Source organism: Homo sapiens, chromosome 13 (genome assembly GCF_000001405.40).
Source record: "Homo sapiens chromosome 13, GRCh38.p14 Primary Assembly".
Lineage (NCBI taxonomy): Eukaryota > Metazoa > Chordata > Mammalia > Primates > Hominidae > Homo > Homo sapiens.
Window position 1 is genome coordinate 19,962,223 of NC_000013.11, and position 24,280 is coordinate 19,986,502.

The 24,280-nt window shown below is 38.5% G+C and overlaps 1 protein-coding gene across 37 annotated transcripts in view, besides 1 other annotated feature; it reads left to right on the top strand.

Annotated features, from left to right (window-relative positions):
* ZMYM2 (zinc finger MYM-type containing 2) overlaps nt 1-24,280 on the top strand; it is a 225,276-nt gene that overhangs the window by 98,383 nt on the left and 102,613 nt on the right. For 12 of the 37 annotated variants that reach the window (XM_047430584.1, XM_047430585.1, XM_047430587.1 and 9 more), the window contains one exon: nt 2,998-3,059. The exons of 22 other annotated variants lie outside the window; for them this stretch is intronic. In XM_047430584.1, the coding sequence (XP_047286540.1) occupies nt 2,998-3,059 (62 nt within the window). Of the gene's footprint in view, nt 1-2,997; nt 3,060-6,066; nt 6,181-7,802; nt 7,850-24,280 lie in introns of all 37 variants that reach the window. 3 more of the 37 variants (NM_003453.6, NM_001190964.4, NM_001353162.3) reach the window with 2 other exon arrangements.
* Nucleotides 5,584-5,653: a silencer, noted in NCBI's record as "silent region_5147". NCBI's record gives its function as "represses an Ori minimal core promoter by ATAC-STARR-seq in GM12878 lymphoblastoid cells {active_cell/tissue: GM12878}" and the evidence as "EXISTENCE:reporter gene assay evidence [ECO:0000049][PMID:35858748]".

The window sequence follows — 24,280 nt, forward strand, 5'->3', positions numbered from 1 at the left end:
TGTTTGAGGTACAGAAGTGTACAAATTTAATATTAATGCATTTGAGACAAAGTGAATCTTTACCTTCAGTCAGATGCTCTGGTATTAATGTGATGGGAAGAATGGGTATGAAATGCTGAAACCCTGGTGTCAAAAGGCATGGTATAATTAGAATTGTTATATTTCCTGTCTCTCTAGCATTAATATGTCTCTATACCATTTGACAATATTATTAATATATATCATAATAAATGTCGTTGATTATGAGAAGACTGGGCTATTCAAATTGCATGGGATATATATATATATATATATTTTTTTTTTTTTTTTTTTTTTTTTTGAGATGGAGTTTCACTCTTGTTGCCCAGGCTGGAGTGCAGTGATGTGATCTTGGCTCACTGCAACCTCTGCCTCCTGGGTTCAAGTGATTCTCCTGCCTCAGCCTCCCAAGTAGTTGGGATTACAGGCATGCGCCACTGTGCCTGACCAATTTTGTATTTTTAGTAGAAACAGGATTTCACCATGTTGGTCAGGCTGATCTCGAACTCCTGGCCTCAAGTTATTCGCCTGCCTCAGCCTCCCAAAGTGCTGAGATTACAGGCGTAAGCCACCTTGCCCAGCCATTTTTTTTTTTTTTTTTTTGAGACAGAGTCTCTGTCATCCAGGCTGGAGTGCAGTGGCGTGATGTCTGCTCACTGCAGCCTCCGCCTCCAGGGTTCAAGCATTCTCCTGCCTCAGCTTCCCAAGTAGCTGGGACTACAGGCACGTGCCACTACACCTGGCTAGTTTTGTATTTTTAGTAGAGATGGGGATTTTTAGTAGAGACAAGGTTTCACCATGTTGGCCAGACTGGTCTCGAACTCCTGAGCTCCGGTGATCTGCCCGCCTCAACCTTCCAGAGTGCTGAGATTACAGGCGTGAGCCACCGTGCCGGCCTGCATGTGATTTTTTTAGCGAATGCAAGGAGAGCCCAAACTCAAGTGTTTTCTCTCATTGGATTCACAAATAGTATTTTATGTAGGGCATTTCAATTTAGGGAAGAAATAAATTGCTTTGACTCCCTGCGTTTTGCTCCTTTAAAAACACTTCAGTTGGTTAATTTTCTTATATTCCTGTCAAAGCATAGAAGTGAACAGGACTTTTGAAGTATTCAGATCAAAAAGTTCTAATGCAGGTCTCCAATATATAACACTTACAAAGTTGTCAATGAGAAAAATTGCTGTTGGATAAATCCATGAATTTGAGTGCAGCAATCTGAGTAACAGTTGCAGCTTATTTTCATATTTTATTTTGGTTGTATACCAGCAAGAATTTTTTTTTTTATGTAGTTGGAGTTGCACATTTTTATATTTACAACCTGGTTTTTTAAACAAATCACTTCGTAGTCTTTGATGTCTCTTACTAAAATAGACATATGAAAAGGGTCTTTATGGTCATCACCAAATGCTTGGCAACAAGATGAGTTGGTCATTTTAAAATGTGTTAAAATTTGGATTATAACACATTTGAACATATCTGTTGTTTTTGTGCATATTTAAGATATATTAATTTTTTTTGGATCAAGCTTTACACAATACTTGAAGCACTTCTGTGGAGCTGCAGAATGAATTTTCGTAAACATTTTTTAAACTCTTTTTAAGAGTTTAAAAAGATGTGCAGAGAGGTTAGCAAAATCACTTGATTAGTATGACTTTGGGATTTGTTCTTAGTCCTGTTTTATTTTTAACTTTATAACAGTCCATTGAAAATTAGAAGTAATAAATTTTAAGAAAAATCAATGCTCTTTAATTTGAAAGAAGGGTATAGCTGTTGGGTTTTAGTTTTACTGATTTGATTAATGTTCTGTAAATATTCATGTTTGCTATTTCAAGAAATGACATAAGAGTAAACTGGTTGGCCGGGCTCAGTGGCTCACGCCTGTAATCTTAGCTTTGGGAGACTGAGGCGGGTGGATCACCTGAGGTCAAGAGTTCGAGACCAGCCTGGCCAATGTGGTGAAACCCTGTCTCTACTAAAATACAAAGATTAGTCAGGCATGGTGGTAGGCACCCGTCATGCCAGCTACTCAGGAGGCTGAGGTAGGAGAATCACCTGAAACTGGGAGGTGGAGGTTGCAGTTAGCCAAGATTGCACCACTGCACTCCAGCCTGGGCAATAGAGTGAGAGACCGTCTCAAAAATAAAAAAAAAAATAAAGTGATTATTCACAGAAATAGATAATGCATGTTTAATAGGTCGGTTTTTTGTAGAGACAGGGACCCACTTTGTTGTCCACACTGCTCTCAAACTGCTGGACTCAAGCGATCTTCCCACCTTGGCCTCCCAAAGTGTTGGGATTTCAGGCGTGAGCCACCATGCCCAGCCAGTAGGTTGGGTTTTTAAAAACTTTTGCACGTTTATGTTTTATTAGTATAAGTTATCATCTTGTTTTTGTTTATTCTTAATTTAGACCGTTCTCTTTAATGTCAGTAGGCTGCCAAGGATTAGGTTTTTCTCTCTTTTTCAGAGGGTTCCAGATTTTTTTTTTTCTCTCTAAGTGTTCCTAGTGAATTTCAAGGTCAGATTAGTTTTTGTGAATTTATAAGTTAGTCTAAAGAGTTTTTAAAAATTTATCCATAAAAATGTTTTTTTATATTACAAGTTAATGTTAAATTGTAATCAGGATAAATTTGCTAGGAATATAACTAATTGTTGCAACTTCATATGCAAATGTTGGGAAAGATCTGTTAAAACTCTTGCATTAAACTTATTTGTCTCTAACCATGCATTTAGGTTGGATAAGAAAAATACTTAAGTTAGTGGGTGCAGCGCACCAGCATGGCACATGTATACATATGTAACTAACCTGCACAATGTGCACATGTACCCTAAAACTTAAAGTATAATAAAAAAAAAAAAAGAAAAATACTTACATAGCTATTCTAAGTAACATTGGGATGCACAGTTAGAAGTTGCAGACAGAATAATGTTTGTAAAATGTGACTATAATACAGTGAGACAAATTCTTTTTACTTTATAGCCATACATGTGTATATTACTCTCTGCCGTAGTCACCTGGATACCATCTCTGGACTTACTAGTGTAAGAATTGACAACTAAATTTTTGGGTTTTGTTACTTAACATTAAAAAATGACTTCTCTTCTAATACTGGAACAGTTTTATAATCATTCATTTCAAAGAGGTATGTCTTTTTCCTAGGAAGAATAGTGTTTCTTGGAATATCAAGTTGGACTAGACAGAGTGTTCAGGGTAATAATCAGGGGACTGATTTAACAAATTGGATATTACAACACCTGTTATATATTAGATAGTCATAAAATATGTGTTCTGTTAATTATGGGCTAGCAGTTTCTTTGGCTCTGCTTGGAAGAGCATTTCATCTAGACTTAGTGAATTGTGTTTCTAGTTCTATAGAACTAAGGAAAGGTTTGGGTGGAAGTGAAAATATAAGTTAAATGAAAATTTTATTTTATCCTCCTGTTTAGATTTGTACTTTTTTTCGTTCCAGGCTTGTCATATCTTATTTTAATCATTTTAATTATTTCTGGCCCTGATATGGTATCTGAATTCTTTTTTTTTTTTTTTTTTTTGAGACGGAGTCTTGCTGTGTTGCCTAGACCAGAGTGCAATGGCATGATCTCAGCTCACTGCAACCTCCGCCTCCTGGGTTCAACTTGAAGCAATTCTCCTGCCTCAGCCTCCTGTGTAGCTGGGATTACAAGTGTGCACCACCACACCTGGCTAATTTTTGTATTTTTAATAGAGACAGGGTTTCACCGTGTTGGCCAGCTGGTTTTGAACTCCTGAACTCAGGTGATCCACCTGCCTGGGCCTCCCAAAGTGCTGGGATTACAGGTGTGAGCCACCGCACCAGGCCTGAATTCTTATATATTTATAATTCTATATTTGCTTGTTTTTTTTTTTGTTTTTGTTTTGTTTTGTTTTGTTTTGAGACAGAGTTTCTCTCTTGTTGCCCAGGCTGGAGTGCAATGGTGCAATCTCGGCTCAACGCAACCTCCGCCTCCCGGGTTCAAGTGATTCTCCTGCCTCAGCCTCCTGAGTAGCTTGGATTGCAGGCATGAGCCGCCACGCCTGGCTAATTTTGTATTTTTAGTAGAGATGGGGTTTCTACATGTTGGTGAGGCTGGTCTTGAACTCCCGACCTCAGGTTATCTACCTGCCTAAGCCTCCCAAAGTGCTGGGATTACAGATGTGAACCACTGCACCAGGCCTGAATTCTTATATGTCTATAATTCTTTTTTTTTTTTTGGATACAGAGTTTTGCTCTTGTTGCCTAGGTTGGAGTGCAATGGTGTGATCAGGGCTCACCGCAGCCCCTACCTCCTGGTTTCAAGCGTTTCTCCTGCGTAGCTGGGATTACAGGCATGTGCCACCACGCCGGGCTGATTTTGTATTTTTAGTATAGACGGGGTTTCTCCATGTTGGTCAGCCTGGTCTTGAACTCCTGACCTCAGGTGATCTGCCTGCCTTGGCCTCCCAAAGTGCTGGGATTATGGTCGTGAGCCACCGCGCCCAGCCTGCTTGTTTTTTTACCTAAAGAAAAATTTGCACTTGTTTTAATTAGTTATAGGAAAATCATGATTATAAAATTTAACAAGTTTTAGCTTTATAACTTTACTATGAATATTGTCTCACTTTATTTTGATTTTTGTCTGTCTTATTATTGTATAGTCCTGTTTCTTAGCCAAATAAGTGTTAACTCCTGCCTAGGAAGTCATTCCATCCTATGTCTCTGTACGGTTTTACATTGCTTATGGAAGAGAAGCTTCTGTTCCAGTTAGTCTCTCTTCCATGACACAGACTCCTGACTTCTGTTATTTCATGTTTTCTTTATTTGTATATCACATTTTCCTTTTTCAAGGACCTTACTCTTCTGTTTTCATTCAGTCTTCCTCCTGGACTTACCTGTTCATTTGTCTTTCCTTTTCCTAACTCCTTTTGCTTTTTTTAAAAAAAGAGCACAGTATCTGTAATAGCATCCTATATAAAAGTCTGATTATACTGTCCTTTTAGGGGGTATGTTTCCAAATTACAGTAAACTCGTGAATTTGGTGAGATCATGATATGTGAGTATGGTTCTAGAGATATATGAGGGCCTCACATGGAAAGGGAACTAGTGAGTACTAAGAGAAGATTGGAAGGGTAACGACTTAATTTTGCAGATTTTCTGCCAAAAAAAGCCATTTTTCTCATTGTAGCATGACATGAGTTGGAGTCATACAGATTCAGGCTTAAATCTGCCCTGCTCATGAAGGGAGTTTTGGGGTGATAGAGTGTTATATAAAACTGGATTGTGGTGATTGTTGCAGAAGTATATACATTTAATACATTTATCAAATCTTTCACTTAAAATAAGTAAATTTTACTACACGTACATTATGCTTTAATATAACTATTAAAAACAATTTTGCTCCAGTATTTACCAGTTTGCGATATCAGGCAAGTCATGTAACATCTGAGCTGTAGTTCAGTCAGTTAACAAATGAGTATGGTAATGCCTGGTTTCCTGAGATTGTTGAGGTGAGGACTAAAAATAATACAGGGTATGCAGCTGGCCAATAGTAGGTGCTCAGTTAATAGCAGCTGCAATTCTTAAACTGTCTGTTTATATGGACCAAACATAATGAATTTGCTGCCACCACCTGGTATGGTAAACTTAGTGTGTGCTTATCTGGTAATGACTAGAAGAATTTCTATGTTTCTCTTCACCGACTTCCCTCTTCTGGCTTTTTCATTAGTCTGCAGTGCTTTATCCTCCATCGAGATAAAAATGCTTTATCCTCCAGAATCTCTGCATCTTTTTCTAACGATTTCTTCTTTTCCCTATACTTTTAGAAAGAAATCCACTGTCTGATCTGCACTGTCAACACTATAACAAATCTCTTCTGAGGTCGCTAGTGACCTAATTGCCAAATCTTTTAACTGCTTCTTTTTGTCTTAATTCTGTAACATTTAAAATTTTTGCTTCTGGGGCTTAATGTGGTCTCATAGTTATGACCACCTCCTTCACTTCCCCTCGCTAGACTTTCCTTTTTTTGAGCCAGAGTTTTGCTCTTCTTGCTCAAGCTGGAGCGCAATGGTGTGATCTCGGTCCACTGCAACCTCCGCCTCCCGGGTTCAAGCGATTCTCCTGCCTCAACCTCCCGAGTAGCTGGGACTACAGGTGCACTGGGATTACAGGTGCGCGCCACTGTCCCTGGCTAATTTTTTTGTATTTTTAGTAGAAATGGGGTTTAACCATGTTAGCTAGGCTGGTCTCGAACTCCTGACCTCAGGTGATCTGCCCACCTTGGCCTCCCAAAGTGCTGGGATTACAGGCGTGAGCCACCGCACCAGACCTCCCCTCACTAGACTAATGTTGAGACCTTTAAGTGTCCTTTACTGTCATCTTTAGCTCTTACTATGCTTTTAACTTTCACCTTAGTCTGTTAGAAAACGGAATTATTTACAAGGCAGTTTCTTCCTATTCTTGACTCCATTGTAGCCAGATTAATTTTTCCTAAAGCTCAGTCTGATGACATTGCTCATTTTGCAAAAACTTGAGAAATTTCTGTTGGCATGTGAAACAAAATAAAAATTAAGCCTGGACTTAAAAACCCTTTTAAAAAGAAAAAATCAAGTAGGAAGTGTGTTATGTGTGTTTTTCATGTAAGTTCTCACTGTTCAGTTCAGAGAGGTAGTCATATAAATGAGTAAATATAAACAAAGTGTAATAGGTAATAAACAGAAATGAATAATTATATGCATATCACAAAGGACACTTCTTAAAGAATATTTTGGTTATAAAAACAAAACATTCCCTTAATATCTTTATGCAGTAAGAAATATATGTGACATAGAAAATGAGAGTTCCTGCATAATTCCATTCCCCTTGAGACCCAGTGTTTAAACTTTAAAATGTATTCTTATGATTTTTCCACCTGGTCATCACACTAATAATTTGCATATATACTGTTACTATCAACAATGGACGTATTCATCGCAGTCTGACATCCTTATTTTCCGTTCCCTATCCTTATGTTGCAGAAGTCTTTAGCTGATTGTTTGAATTCTAGTGATCAGTTTATTAGGCCAGTTCACTAGTCTTAGTTCTAGCTGATGGGAAGATAATGTGGTATAATGAAAGGTATGTGGACTTTTTAGGTACAAACTTTGCATGTGCCACCTACAGCTGTGTGCCGTAGGAGATTTACTTGATTGTACAGAGTAATTTACTCAACTGCAAAGTGGGGTCGTAATATAGTATAAGGTCTTTTCAAGGAACTTGTGATGAGAGTGCTGTCAAGCATGTTTTTCATAATTGGTAGTTATTGTGTTAGATGTATGATGAAATTCAGAGGCAAAAGTATAACTCAAGATATGAAGGAAGGGATTGAATAAAAGAGATCAGCAAAATAAGACTTACTGAGGACTGCTTTCTTTAGTTAAGATTTATTGAGGGTTGCCTTCTTTGCTTCAGGCTCACTTTATTTACTAGATAATTTAAAAAATAAAAAGCTATTGAATTGTAAGTGATAAGATTTTTTATTTTCTGAAATTTGTCTAATAAGGAAATTCTGATACTCTATGCTCTGTATTCCTTTGACTTTTTTTTTTTCTTTTTTAAAGCAATCTGAAACATTTGAACATCTCAAGAAAAAAATGCTGGTTAAAAAAGAGTTTTGAGTCTTATGAAACAGAGGCAAGAGATTTTTACTTAGTAATAGTCTGTATTAGAGAAATAGATTCTTAGTACCTGAAGTCTACCTTATTGGATCTCTGGTCTCATTTGCTTATTGATGCAAGTATTGTTGTTTCTTTAGGTTAGATGAGGTCTTAATCATGGAACATTTGAAGTCACGTAAAGAAGGTAATGTTTTTTTAAAAGCCCTCTACTCCATCTGTTTAAACATTATGGAAAATTTGTTATCAAAAACAGTCATTACACTAGATCATAGATTTGGAACACCAACAAGTGGTCATAAGAATAAATGAATGTTTGATGATTTGTTTCCAAATTAACGTGTGTAGTTGAAGTTTATTTATGCTGTTGTAGTTTTTAAACTATGTTTGGAGAAGGAAGTATGGGTTTATTTACCTTCTTTGGTAAAGGGGATCACAGGGATAGGGTATGATAACCTTTCATTAGGGACTAAAATCAGGTCATGTTACTAACTGTAATTACGCAGATGAATATAGAAGTAAAAAAAATTAGGACCAAAGACAAAGGATAGAGATAAATTATATTTTAGCTTGTTTCATCTTTTGAGGAAGTTATTCTAATTTTCCATTTTTAACAGGGAAATGGGCTTGGGGGTGAAGTGATTGTCCTATGCACACAAGAAGAGAGAGAGCCAGAATTCAGTGTGGGTCAGGGAGGAGTGAAAAAACCCCAAACCAAAAAAAAAAAAAAAAAAAAAAGGGCATCCTCTCAGAAAGGTTATTTGTTAAAGAAAAATATTCATTCAGTAAATATTTATTGGCCAGGCTTTTATTAAGTTCAAGGTTATAGTAAGGCAATAAGAGCATAGGTCTTTTCCCTCATGGACCTTGCAGTCTTCTGGGGGTTACAGATTACAAATCAACAAACATAACTACAAATTGGATAAATGCAGCTGAGGAAATGAGTATGATCTGAGATTGTAGCAGGAGACACCTAGTTGAGACCAGCGATGGATTAGTGGAGTGTTTGATGCAGGAGGATCTTTTCTTTGAAAGAGAGACATTTAAGCAGAGAATAGACGGAAGCGTGAAAAGGAGTCTTTTCAGGCAGAGGAAGATCCTGAGATGAGGAGCTTGAACTCTTCCACAGCCTGAAAGAAGGCTTAGTTTAGTTTAGCTGAAGCTTAATGAGCAAGGTGGGGAAGAGTAGGGCTGAAAGTGAACCTAGATTGTAGGTAGGGATCAAAGCAGACGGAAATATTACATACAGGTAAGGGGAAGAATTGTAGGCTTTCTCCTAAGTATACTGAAAAGCCACGTAAGAAGTGAATGTTGTAGTCTGATTTCATTTTTAGTTTATATATATGTGTGTGTGTGTGTGTATATATATATATATATATTTTTTTTTTTTTTTTTTTTTCCTTGAGATGGAGTTTCACTCTTGTTGCCCAGGCTGGAGTACAGTGGTGTGATCTCGGCTCACCACCACCTCTGCCTCCGGGGTTGAAGCTAATCTCCTATCTCAGCCTCCCAAGTAGCTGGGATTACAGACATGTGCCACCACACCAGGTTAATTTTGTAGTTTTAGTAGAGACGGGGTTTCTCCATGTTGGTCAGGCTGGTCTCGAACTCCTGATCTCAGGTGATCCACCCGCCTCAGCCTCACAAGGTGTTGGGATTACAGGCATGAGTCACCATGCCCAGCCGATTCATTTTTAAGAAGTTCTTTAGATATTCTGGGGAATATAGTAAGTAATATCAGTATTCCAGCAGAAAAATGGTGGACTTCTCAGGCAAGAAGGATAGTAGTAGAGATGGGTAAAAGTGGACAATTTCGAGATTTATTTTGGAAGTAGGAAAAGCATTTGATGATTGCAGGCTGTAGGGGAAGAAAGGAGAAAAAATTAAGAATGATCTCCAGATTTCTATTATTGAGTCACTAGACATAAAACATCGTGAAATGGCAAAAACTGGAAGAGGTACAGATAAAAGGGGATAGAGCAAGTTAAAAAAAAAACTAGATGTAGAGAGTAGGCAGTTTGGCGTTTTGAAACATCTTGATTGAGATAAATTAAGGAGTTTAGGGGTATTAGGGTATTATTTTAAATCATGGGAATGGATGAGATCCCCAAAGAAAGTTAAAATTACTTGAAAGTACCTTGTAGTTAAATTTTGGTCCTATAGGAGAGAAGAAATTATTTCTTACCTCTAGAAATTCTACACCCTAGAGATCCCTGAATGAAATAATTGATTTATTCATGTATTTATTAGATCAAAGGGATTTTTGTTTAGACTCTGTCATAACCCTTGAATGGATTTTTAGTAGCTGAGTACATGAATTAAATGGTTCCTATCATTTTCTAAAGCCAGACTACCTTTGTTTTAGGTATCTAATAGAGATATGTTCAACAGATTTGTGGCTAAATTGTAAGCAATGTGAATACATAATTTATGTTATCTGTCTTTGGTTTTCTGGTCCCTGTCTCCATTCTGCAAAGGTTAAGAATATCACTTTAGTATGTATTACATTTACCCTTAAGAATTATCTAGTAATCTTGTGTATGCCTTTTAAAAACATGTATAGTATAAATATCTTTTTGCAATTTTTTTTTTCACTTAGTGGTATGTCTTAGCTGTCTTTAAGAGTTAATACAGAAAGATCTCCATTTTAACTGTCGTGAAGTATTTAATGGCATGGATATAATACAGCTTAGACATTCTTTTGATGGACAGTCTGTTTCCAATTTTTTGCTATTGTAGATAATGCTGCAAGGAATATACTTGCATTTTCTTCAGATTTATGAGTGTTTTCTATAGGGAAGATTCTGAGAATAGGAATTCCTGAGTCAGAGTATATGCATATTATATATTTTAATAGATAACTGCCAAATTGCCCTCCGTTATTCTTCTATACCAACTGCATTTCCACCACTTCTTCCACATTCTTCCCAACACTGTATATTATCAAATAGCTAAATTTAATGTGTTCCCTCTGAAGTACAAGTATCGATTTTTTGTTATAGCTGTTACAAATTATATATATACATATATAGATATATATATGTATATATGTTTTTTTGTTTTTTTTTTGAGATGGAGTCTCGCTCTTATCACCCAGGCTGGAGTGCAGTGGTGCGATCTCGGCTCACTGCAACCTCTACCTCCAGGGTTCAAGCGATTCTCCTGCCTCAGCCTCCCGAGTAGCTGGGATTACAGGTGCCCGCCACCAGGCTTGGCTAAGTTTTGTATTTTTAGTAGAGATGGGGTTTCACTGTGTTGGCCAGGCTAGTCTCAAACTCCTGACCTCAGGTGATCCGCCCACCTCAGCCTCCCAAAGTGCTGAGATTACAGGCATTAGCCACTGCGCCCAGCTACAAGTATATATATTTATGGTATCTTTGTTTGCTATATAAATTTTTTCATGTAATGGAGAAATCCATTTTATTCTTGTAAGAAATAGGAATAACTATAACAGGAAGTATGCAAGACTTTAATGAAGGAAACTATAAAACAGTACCATAGAGGGGCCGGGCGTGGTGGTTTCTGCCTGTAATCCCAGCACTTTGGGAGGCCAAGGCAGGTGGATCTCCTGAGGTCAAGAGTTCAAGACCAGCCTGGCCAACATGGTGAAACCCCGTTTCTACTGAAAGTACAAAAATTAGCAGGGCGTGGTGGTGTGCGCCTGTAGTCCCAGCTACTTGAGAGGCTGAGGCAGAAGAATTGCCTGAACCCGGGAGGCAGAGGTTGCAGTGATCCAAGATCATGCCACTGCACTCCAGGCTGGGTGACAGAGCGAAACTCCATCTCAAAAAAAAAAAAAAAAAAACACCAAAAAACAAAACAAAAAACAGAAAAAAAACCCAACACAATACCATAGGGCAAGCTTGTCCAATCCGCGGCCCGCAGGTCCCGTGCTGCCTAGGAGGTCTTTTGAGTGTGGCTCAACACAAATTTGTAAACCTTCTTAAAACATTGTGAGATTTTTTTTTTGGATTTTAGTTGTTGTTAGCTCATCAGTTATCATTAGTGTTAGTGTATTTTATGTGTGGCCCAAGACAGTTCTTTCAATATGGCCCAGGGAAGCCAAAAGGTTGGGTACCCTTACCATAGGGCATATAAGAAAACTTTAAATGGAAAGATGTGCCAGTGTCTGAATGGGAAGACTTCCATAATGTAAAAATGTTTAGTTTGTCTCCAGATTAATCTCTTAAATTCAGTGAAACCCTAATCAAATCCCAGTATATTTGCATATGATACCAACTTTAAAAGGTAGAAGAGGGTAAACAGTGAGAAGGAAAACTCACTCTTCTTCCTCTGATTCATCTACACAATTCTCTTCCCTAGAGGCAAACCACTGTTGTCATTTTCTTGGGCGTTTATCGAGAGATACTGTGTGTGGTGCGTTTATGCATTGTTTTATACCTTGCTGTTTACACTTAATTTATATTTGTGGTTGATCCTTATTAGCATGTAAGTCCATTTAGAGTTGCTTCATTGTTTTGAAGTGCTGCATGGTGTTTTGTTGTATGTCTTTGTCATCATTAATTTTATCCATTGTGTGTTGAGACATTTGGATTGTTTAAATCTTTTGATTTTACCATGAATATCCTTCTACTTTTTTTTTTTTTTTGAGACAGACTCTTGCTCTGTTGCCCAGGCTGGAGTGCAGTGGTGTGATCTCGGCTCTCTGCAGTCTCTTCCGGGTTCAAGCAATTCTCCTGCCTCAGCCTCCTGAGTAGCTAGGATTACAGGCACCCGCCACCACACCCGGCTGATTTTTGTATTTTTAGTAGAGATGGGGTTTCACCATGTGGGCCAGGCTGATCTCTAACTCCTGACCTCGTGATCCACCCACCTCAGCCTCCCGAAGTGCTGGGATTACAGGCGTGAGCCACTGTGCCTGGCCTGTTCTTTAAAATATGAGATAATATATCTGTTGGATGGATGCCTAAAAGTGGAATTGCTTGGTCAAAGAAATGTTTTTTTAGTTGCCCTCTATAGAGACTGTACCAATTAACAGAATAGGAGTCTTGCTGCATGGGATATTGTTAAGACTTGGTGGGCCTTTGTTAATATAAGAGAAAATTGGTGGCCTTTCAGAATTTAAGTAGTATTTTTGTAGATACATATTTAAGAGTGATTTTTGTGTGTGAACTGTTTATTTTTTGTCATTTATTCTATTTGATTGTGGTTTATCTCATTGATTGTAGGAGCTCTTTGCCTTCATTTTATTACGATATGACAAAAATTTTCTTTTCATAGGATATCATTGTTTTTGGTATTTTTTTCCCCCATATGGTGTCTTCTTTTCTTAAAAAAAAAAAAAAAAGTATAGTAACATAAGACCATTTTTTACCATTTTTAAGGGTACACAATTTTGTGACATTAAGTACATTCACAGTTTCTTGTAAAAATCAACATTATCCATTGCCAGAATGTTTTCATCATCCCAAATAGAAACCATACTCATTAGCATTCCTTGTCTCCCCTTCCTCAAGCCCCTGGTAACTTCTGTTCTACCTTCTGTATCGAACTACCTCATGAATGGAATCACAATATTTGTCCTTTTGTGTCTGGCCTACTTCACTTAGCATAATGTTTTCAAAGTTCATCTATGTTGTAGTATGTATCAGAGTTTTATTCATTGTTAAAGCTGTATAATATTCCCCTGTGTATGTTTACCAACATTTTATTTAGCCGTTCACTCTGTTGGACACTTAGGTTGTTTTCACCTTTTGGCCGTTGTGAAAATGCTTCTGTGATCATTGTTGTACAGGTATCTATTTGAGTCATTGCTTTCAGTTATTTTGGGTTTATATCTCACAATGAAATTGATGGGTCATAGATTAATATCCACATGTGACTTTGGGGAACCATTAAACTGTTTTCCACAGTGTGGTACCATTTTACATTTTTACCAGCAATACAGAAGAGTTCCAATTTCTGAAAGTCTTTATCAGCACTTTTCTTTTTTTAAAATTTTTCCTCCATTTTTAAAATGTATGTATGTATGTATGTATGTATGTATGTATGTATGTATGTAGAGCTGGAGTCTTGCTATGTTGCCCAGCCTGGTCTTGAACTCCTGGCCTCAATTGATTCTTTCACCTTGGCCTTCCAAAGCATTGGGATTACAGGTGTGAGCACCACCACGCCTGACCTCCTTTTTTAGAAAAACAGCAATCCTAGGCCGGGCACGGTAGCTCATGCCTGTAATCCCAGCACTTTGGGAGGCCGAAGCGGGCAGATCACGAGGTCAAGAAATCGAGACCATCCTGCCCAACGTGGTAAACATTTTTTGTAAAAATACAAAAATTAACTGGGTGTGCTGGCGCGTGCCTGTAGTCCCAGCTACTTGGGAGGCTGAGGCAGGAGAATCACTTGAACCTGGGAGGCAGAGGTTGCAGTGAGCCAGGATCATGCCACTGCACTCCAGCCTGGCGACAGAGTGAGACTGCACCTCAAAAAAAAAAAAAGAAAGAAAGAAAGAAAGAAAAATAGCAATCCTAGTGCGTGTGAAATGGTACTTTTTTTTTCTTTTTTATTTTAAATTGTAAAAAAACAACATAAAATTTACTATTTTTACGACTTTTAAGTGTTCAGCTCAATATTAGTCGGTATATTCACATTGTCACACAGGAGATCTCCAGACCTTTTTTATTTTATAAAACCAGAACTCTACGTATTAAACAACAGTTCCCCAATTATCTCTTCCTCCGGCCCCTGGTAACCACCATTTTACTTTCTGTTTATGAATTTGACTACTTTAGATACTTCACATAAGTGGAATCCTGCAGTATTTGTCTTTTTGTGACTGGCTGTTTTCAGGTAGCATGATGTCCTCATGGTTCTACGTTATAGCGTGTGTCAGAATTTTCTTCCTTTTAGAAGTCTATTGTATGTATATGTCTTTTAGGTCTGAGTAGTTTATAGTGTTGTTTAAGCCCCTTCCATTTCCTTACTGATTTTCCGTTTGGTCGTTCTATCCATTTTTGGAAGGGTATAATGAAGTCTTCAGCTATTATCATAGAGTTTTGTGTCTATCTCTCCTTTTAATTCTGGTAATTTTTGCTTTAATATATTTTGATGCTTAGTTGTTAAGTATCTGTATGTTTAGAACTGCTGTATCTTCTTGCTAGAACGAACCTTTCATCAATATATAATGTCCTTTGTCTCTTATAACCTTTTTTGATTTAAAGTTAATTTCTGATTAGTATAGCCACTCCAATTCTCATTTGGTTAATATTTGCATATATTAGGTTTTCTATCCTAACAGAAAATAGTACTCAGCTATTCTGTATCTTTGTATCTGAAGTGAATCTTTTTCTTTTTCTTTAAATTGAGATGGGATCTCACTTTGTTGCCTAGGTTGGTCTCAAACTCCTGGGCTCAGGTGATCCTGCTGCTTTCGGCTCCCAAAGTGTTGGGATTACAGGCATGAACCATGGTGCCCGGCCCTAAAGTGAATCTTTTGTAGACAGCATATAGATGGATCGTGTTTTAAAAAATTCAGTCTGCCAGTGTATCTTTTATTATAATTTAATCTATTTATGTCTAAGGTAAGTCTTCATAAGGATTTACCTCTGCCATTTTGCTGTTTTCTGCATGTCTTATGTTTTTTCCTTTCCATTTCTTTTTTTTTTTTTTGAGACGGAGTCTTTCTTTGTCACCCGGGCTGGAGTGCAGTGGCGCGATCTCGGCTCACTGCAAGCCCTGCCTCCCGGGTTCACGCCATTCTCCTGCCTCAGCCTCCTCAGTAGCTGGGACTACCGTCCGCCACCACGCCTGGCTAATTTTTTTGTATTCTTAGTAGAGACGGGGTTTCACTGTGTTAGCCAGGATGGTCTCGATCTCCTGACCTTGTGGTCCACCCACCTCAGCCTCCCAAAGTGCTGGGATTACAGTCATGAGCCACCGCGCCCAGCCAACCCTTTCCATTTCTTCTATTATTGCTTTTTATGTTAAATTTTTCTCTAGTGTACCATTTGATTCCCTTCTTTTCTATATATTTTAAAAGTTTTTTTTTTTTTTGAGACGGGGTCTTGCTGTGTCGCCCAGGCTGGAGTGCAGTGGCACAATCTCGGCTCACTGCAAGCCCCGCCTCCCGGGTTCATGCCATTATCCTGCCTCAGCCTCCTGAGCAGCTGTGACTACAGGTGCCCACCACCACGCCTGGCTAATGTTTTTGTATTTTTAGTAGAGACGGGGTTTCATCGAGTCAGGCAGGATGGTCTTGAACTCCTGACCTAGTGATCCTCCCACCTTGGCCTCCCAAAGTTCTGGGATTACAGGTGTGAGCCACTGCACCCAGCCTAAAAGTATTTTTTAAATGGTTACCTTGGGGATTAAAATAGCCATATACCCTTCCAAAAATGGATAGAACCACCAAACAGAAGACTAAATTTATAATAACATATTGCAAATAACTTGGTTTCAGAAGTATACAAACACTCTACTGCTGTACTTCTCTGTCCTCTTCCTTTGTAATATTATTGTCATAGATTACATCTGTATATATTGTGTGCTCATTAATATAAATTTAAAATTACTGTTTTTTGGGTTTTTTTTTTGAGACGAAGTTTTGCTCTTGTTGCCCAGGCTGGAGGGCAATGGTGCAATCTTGGCTCACCACAACGTCCGCCTCCTGGGTTCAAGTGATTCTCCTGCCTCAGCCTGCCGAGTAGCTGGGATTACAGGCATGTGCCACCACGCCAGCTAATTTTGTATTTTTAGTAGAGACGGGGTTTCTTCATGTTGGTCAGGCTGGTCTGAAACTCCCGACCTCAGGTGATCTGCCTTCCTTGGCCTCCCAAAGTGCTGGGATTACAGGTGTGAGCCACCGTTCCCAGCCTAAAATTACTGTTTTGTGCCTTTATCTTTTATATCATATAAAAAAATTAATTATAAACCTAAAGTACATTACCGCTGACTTTTCTGTTTTATCTCTTTAGTTACCTTCACTCATATGCTTTATTTCTTCTTACCATGTTGAGTTACTCTTCAGTGTTTTATCATTTTTGCTGGAAGAACTCTCTTCAGCATTTCATGTCGGGCAGGTCTGCAGGAAATGAACTTCTTTCTGCTTTTGCTTATTTGGAAATATCTTAGTTTCACCTTATTTTTGGAGGGATGTTTTGCTGCGTATAGAATTCTTGGCTGACAGATTTTTTTCCCCCCTCTTTCTGTTAGCACTTTAAATATGTCATCCCACTGACTTCTGGCTTCTATAGTTTCTGATGAAAAAATGCTGATAATGATAATCTAAATAATCTAATGAGGATTCCTTGAACCAGATGAGTCTCTTCTTTTTTGCTGCTTTCAAAATTTCTGCTCTCTTTGAGGTCCACAATGTGTCTTGACATGGATATCTTTGAGTTTATCCTGCTTTTGGAGTTTGTTGAGCTTCTTGGATATGTATATTTATCATCATCATATTAGGGCAGTTTTCAGCCATTGTTTCTTCAAATGTTTTGTTAACTTTGGAAATCTGATTCCCCCAGTCTTTATAGATCGCAGATTTTTTACTTGTTGAGGGATAGAGCTGTTCACGTGACTTTTTCTGCACTTTTTTTTTTTTTTTTTTGCCCAGTTTATGTTTCTTGTTTGTAGGCACTGGAGTTTCTCTTCCATTATCTGTGTGGTGAGGTACTGACCTGACAAAAATTTCCTTAAATGTCTGCAGAGAAAAGAGAAAATGGTCATGTCTCAGTAAATCTGTGATAGATGCTACAGGGAAAGCTGCTCCTGCCCAGAAGGCTGAAACCAAGGAAGTGTCTGCTCCAGACCAGCCCAAACACACAATCCCAAATTTTGGTAAAAGTTCCTATCAGCCCTGTGTACAGCCAGCTGTGCCAAGAACATAGTATGCTATTCCCAAAGCTGAGTTGGGATGAGGAATGAGGGATAGTGGCTGGTTTGTACTATTCACTTATGAATGATCACCAGCGTCTCCCTGGATTGCTCCTGTATTTGTTTTAGGTGTACAGTCAGGTTCTAGAGATCCAAAGTAGTTGGTTTCAATCATTTTTTCCCACTCAATGGTTGCTTGGGTGGAAGTACTTATACCTAGAACTTCTTGCCACACCATTTCGCCTAAAGTCTCTGTCTTCATCTGTATTTTTTCTTTTTTAAAAATTTGTTATTTCATCTGTTTTTTTTATGTCAGATTTACAAGGATCTTGTAACTTTAAAATTATAAAAATAAATGTTCGGTATTCTTGTAATTTATTTTTACATTAAATTTTTTATTAAATAATTTTTAAATTTAAGACTTTATCTTGTATTAACGTTTATGTATGATGAGGGGTAGGTGGCTCCCCAAATTTTTATTTTTATGTTGGAATTTCTTTCGGTGTGAGACAAGAATTCAAAGTAATATTTCTCAGTTGCTTCCCAGTTGTTTTATACTACTTTTCTGAAAAATTTATATACCCTATTGAAATTTCATTGTATACTAAATTCCTTGATATATTGGGTCTGTTTCAGACTTTTTTTGTCTGTTTGGTCCGTCTTTTCTTATTCCCTACCTCACTGTTTTATTTATTGTAGCTTCATAATATGCCAGTTTCTTCTGTTACTCATCTCTTTTTAGAATTTTCCTGTTCTTGGCTGGGCGTCATGGCTCACGCTTACAATCCCAGCACTTTGGGACGCCAAGGCAGGCAGATCACTTGAGGTCAGGAGTTGGAGACCAGCCTGGCCAACATGGTGAAACCCTGTCTCTACTAAAAATACAAAAAGTTAGCTGGGCATGGTGGCAGGCGCCTGTAATCCTAGCTACTTGGGAGGCTGAGGGACAAGAATCACTTGAACCCAGGAGGTGAAGTTTGCAGTGAGCCAAGATTGTGTCACTGCACTCCAGCCTGGGTGACAGAGCGAGACTCCATCTCAAAAAAAAAAAAAAAAAAAAAAAAGAATTTTCCTGTTCTTGCTTATTTTTTCATATAAATTTGAGATTCAGTTTATCTAATTAAAAATTCTGTTAGTATTTTTATTGAGATCAAAGTAAGTTTGCAGATAATTTAGGGAAAATTGATATCTTTATGTTATTGAATCTTGCTTTGGAATTAGGTTTGTTTTTGTTGGTATTAGTACCGTGATGAATTCACGGATTTAAGCATATTTGAGGCCGGGCATGGTGGCTCATGCCTGTAATCCCAGTGCTTTGAGAGGCTGAGGTGGGAAGATCACTTAGGGCCAGGAGTTCAAGACTAGCCTGAGCAACATAGGGAGACCTCATCTCTACAAGAAATAAAACAATTAGCTAGGCATGGCGGCACATTCCTGTAGCTCTAGCTTCTCAGGAGGCTGAGGTGGGAGAATCACTTGAGTCCAGATGTTCAAGGCTGCAGTGAGCTATGATGATGCCATTGCATTCCAGCCTAGGTTGCCAGTGAGACCCTGCCTCTAAAAAACAGAAAAAACAAAAAACAAACAAACAAAAAAAAAAACAAAAAACAAACCCCAAACCACATATTTGATGTGTTTTAATTAATTGCAGTGATTTTTATTCATGTTCAAATTGTCCTATCTTTGGCCAGTTGGAGCCTATTCATGTTGGCTCTGGAGTCCTTTTAACTCCATTAGTCTTCAGTAGCTTTCTTGCTATCTACTATAAGCAAGTGTTTTGGGCTAATCTTACACATTTCCTGCCTCTGACCTGCAATATACCATTTCTCCAAGGAGCCCTGGTTTCAGTAGGTGGGAAATGGTATTTTCATCTATTGGATTTTAAGTTTCTGCACTCATATTTTTAACATGGAGAAGTACCTTTTTCCTCCTGTAAATACGAATTTTTTCCTAGCATTCCGTTCATTTTTGTGGATATCTTTTCTTTTCTCTCTGAATATATTATTTTCTTAAAATGTTTTCTCCCCTTAGATAGTTACTGTTTCTACCAACTTGAGTTTTTCATCCCATTTGTTTTCATCATGAAGATATCTTTCATATCTTTACTCAGCTGTCAGGTAGTCCTTGGTTGTCTGTTCGTGGTGCATGTCTAAAAGCTGTGTGGACACTCTAAGCCGTTGAGGGTCACAGTACACTGTCGATGTCACATTTCATTAAGGGATGATCTGGGTGGATGTTTGTTGGGAAATCTCCATTCTTGGGTATCTTTTTATGAAATCATGTTTCCAGAAAGAGCCTTCCAATTTCCTGAATGGGGAGATGTGTGACTTGCAGTTTTAGGTGGAGGTTAGGTCTCAGCACCAGTCCTGAGTATGTATCAGTTTATTTTATACCTCAGATTCAACTGAAATAAAGAGCTTGCACCTGAACTGTGCCTTAAATCTTCCTGTCCAAAGTCAATCTTTTACTTTCTCCAAAGATTAAACTTGTGGATTTATTTGGATGGGAAAGGAAATGTAGGTTTCTAATTGCTTTTCAGTAGTTTTCACTGAGTTGTCTATTAGCTGTCTTTTTTTTTTTTTTTTTTTTTTTGGAGACAGAGTCTCGCTCTGTCACTTAGACTGGAGTGCAGTGGCCTGATCTTGGCTCACTGCTACCTCCGCCTCCCAGGTTCAGGTGATTCTTATGCCTCAGCCTCCTGAGTAGCCGAGATTACAGGTGTGCGCCACCATGCCTGGCTAATTCTTGTATTTTTAGTAGAGATGGGGTTTCACCATCTTGGCCAGGCTGGTCTCGAACTCCTGACCTGAAGTGATCTACCTGCCTCGGCCTCCCAAACATTAGCTGCCCTAAGTACGTCATCCCCTTTGGAGAAGAGATGCTGCTATTAGGTTGGTGCAAAAGTAATTGCAGTTTTTGCCATTACTTTCAGTGGTTCCTGAACCTGTTGAGTATTCTATTTTGAACTGTTGCCTCATTCCTCTGCAAATTGTTATGTTGATGAAGATAGTTCCTACCTTGACAAGTGAATGTTAACTGCAGTTTCATTTGTAATTTGTTCATTTCAAAACTTTGCTTCCTGTGGATTCAGTGTTTACCTTTTTCAGGCCTGCTAAGTCAGATACAACTAATCCATGCTTATCTGCCTTCCCTCTTCCAAAATTTTAGTGCACTTGAATTCTCTCCTATCTTCCCTTCCTTGTAGGTTTGTCGTTTTTTTTAAAAAAACCCTTACTGTAGGTTTAGTTGACCTTTGGATGGAAGCAAAATTTTATGGCCGTTCAGTTGACTGATTTCTACATATTAATTTGTTATGTAGATACAATTATTTTACTATATAAACTCACTGTCTATAATAGTTTTTCAGGTAAATCTTCCGGGTCTTTGGGGGTAAAGAATTGTATAATTTGTATATAATATTTTCCCCACTTTCACTTTTTTTTTTTTTTTGAGACGGAGTCTCATTCTGTTGCCCAGGTTGGAGTACAGTGGCACAATCTTGGCTCACTGCAACCTTTGCCTCCCACATTCAAGCAGTTCTCCTGCCTCAGCCTCCGGAGTAGCTGGAATTACAGGTGTGTGCCATCATGGCACGGCTAATTTTTGTATTTTTAGTAGAGATGGGGTTTTGCCGTGTTGGCCAGGCTGGTCTCAAACTCCTGACCTCAGATGATCCGCCTCCCTCGGCCTCCCAAAGTGCTGGGATTACAGGCATGAGCCACCGTGCCCGGCCTCACATTTTTATATTTCTTCATTTCTTTTTTGTGTAATCACATTGGCTGTTACTTCTATAACAGTGCTATATGGTAATAGTAGAAGAATGTTCTTGTCTTATTCTTGACTTTAATGATAATGCTTTTAATAATTCTTTCTTCCTATAATTCCTTCTTCCTATTTTATTAGGAATTTTTATTTTATTATTTTTTTCTTTTTTAAGATAGAGTCTCGCTCTCTTGCCCAGGCTAGTTTGCAGTGGTGCAATCTTAGCTCACTGCAGCCTCGACCTCCTGGGCTCAAGTGATCCTCCCGCCTCAGTCCCATAAGTAGCTGGGACCACAGGCGTGCATCACTATGCCCATCTAATTTTCCTATTTTTTGTAGAGTTGGGGTTTCTCCATGTTGCCCAGGCTGGTCTCCAACTGCGGGCTCAAGAGATCTGCCCGCCATGGCCTCCTAAAGTGCTGGGATTACAGGCGTGAGCCACTGTGCCTGGCCAGGAATTTTTATTCTTAACATTTTAAATCTATCATATTAACTCAGAACTATTATAAGTGCCATGAATACATACTGACTTATAATACTCTTTGCTGTAAAAAAGAGTTCACCTTAGCTTTCTTTGTAATTCTTTAACGATACTTAGAAAGCGTTTAGATAGGCTTATAAGGGAGAAGATGATGAATACTTTTGTTGAAGCACTTTGAAGTGCTTTCTTTGTGATTTTGTTTTTTGAAGGTTCAGCCTTTTTCAGCAAGCACTAATATTTTCTTGATACAAATATATGAATATTTATATTTTAACTATTACCTTTTCATTGTTTTTTCATGACAACATCAACTGTTGTGTTAATTAATTCTCACTGAATCAAAATAAAGACCAAATAGAACTGAAAGCATTTATGATTTATAATGTGGAGTATCACAAGGCAGCTTAAAAATTAATTGGAAACTTACTGAAATTCTGAGGTACAAGCACCAGTTGTCTGGTAATTGTTTAGGAGTTAGGTAAGTATTTAGGAGTGTGCTAAGTGGTTTTCACATCCAGTTATACCTTTGAATTAGAAGAAAAGCCATGTGAACTATTTTTATACCATTTACTGTAGTAAAATGGAAACTCAGATAAGTTATTTGTTTAGTCTTAAATAGTTAGAATTGACTGGAGGTAGAAGAGTGGCGGCTACATGGAGTAGATTTTACTTTGATAATGGAGAAGTGGTCAACTTCTAATTGGATTGTCTTTCTTTAAAGGACTAAGTAGATGTTTTCTGGTTGAAACATTATTTCTATGATATGTAGAAGTGACCAATATTATTTACAGTCTATGATTTTAAGATAGCTGTCATAGTTGAATGGTTATTCTGTTTCGAGAAGTAGATTGCTGCAGGGATCTAACTGTGGTAAAGAAAGACCTATTTTAGGCTACACTATTTTCTTCTAAGGAGATCGAATTGACACATAGCAGCCACCAGAGGGAACTGTGATATCAGTTCTAGCTTTTCTGCCCCAGAAGTGGTTTTCTTCTGTTTTAAGTATGCCAAAACAAAGGAGCCAAATAACTTATATATTAAAAGCCTACACATTTTATAACATCTGTAGATTTGGGCTGAGCTGTTATCTCATTTCTGTGAAAATCATTATGTTGATCAGGTACTTTCCTTATGACAAGTGAATGTTAACCGCAAATTCAGCTTCATTGTGTTTTTTGTTGTTGTTGAGACGGGGTTTCACTCTGTTGCCCAGGCTGGAGTGTAGTGGCATGATCTCTGCTTACAGCAACCTCTGCTTCCCTGGCTCAAGCGATCCTCCCACCTCAGCCCCCGAAGTAGCTGGGACTACAGATGTGCACCACCATGCCCAGCTAATTTTTGTATTTTTTGTAGAGTCAGGATTTCACTGAGTCACCAGGGCTGGTCTCTAACTCCTAGACACAAGTGATCTGCCTGCCTCTGTCTCCTAAAGTACTGGGATCACAGGTGTGAGCTACCATGCCTGGCCCCATTCATTGTTTTTTAAATCCCATTGTAGGTTGGTACTTTGGGCTTGCTGTTTCTTTTGAAGCTTGTGTATTTTGAATATTGATTTGGTTATTTTATTGAATGGTTGTGTTTTTTTTAAAAACAATAAGAGCTGTGGCCAGGCACAGTGGCGCCTGTAATCCCAGCTACTCAGGAGGCTGAGGCAGAGAATTGCTTGAATCCAGGAGACAGAGGTTGCAGTGAGCCGAGATCATGCCACGGCACTCCAGCCTGGGCAACAGGGCGAGACTTGGTCTCAAAAAGGAAAAAAAAAAAGAAAAATTTGGCCGGGCGTGGTGGCACGTGCCTGTAGTCCCAGCTACTCGGGAGGCTGAGGCACAAGAATTACTTGAACCCTGGAGGTGGAGGTTGCAGTGAACTGAGATTGCACCACTATACTACAGCCTGGGCAACAGAGTGAGACTCTGTCTCAAAAATAAATAAATAAATAAGTAAAAAAGCCGGGTGTGATAACGTGCGCCTATAAATCCCAGCTACTCAGGAGGTTGAGGCAGGCAGGTTGCTTGAGCTTGGGAGTTCGAGACCAGGTCAGGGCAACATGGCAAAACCCTGTCTCTGCAAAAAAATACAAAAAAATCAGCCTGGCGTGTGGCGTGTGCCTGTGGTCCCCGTTACTCAGGAGTCTGAGACAGGAGGATCCGTTGAGTCCAGGAGTTGGAGGTTGCAGTGTTGCAGTGAGCCTAGATCGCACCACTGCTCTCCAGCCTAGGCAATAGAGCCAGACTCTCTCAAAAAAACAAACAAACAAACAAAACAAACAAACAAAAAGAAGGGATAATTCTGTTTAAAAGCTTAACCTAGCACACACCTATAGTCCTAGCTACACAGGCAGGAGGAGCACTTGAGCCCAGGAGTCCAGCATGGGCAACATAGAAAGATCGCCATCTCAGAAAAAACAAACAAAAACAAAAAAAAAAAGAAGGGTGATTATTTACTTTACCCAAAGACCTATAAATTACTACTTCATATCCTAAGACATTTCAGAAATTAAAATATAAACATCATTACTCTAAGGCAGTTCCTTAATAAGGAAAGCTT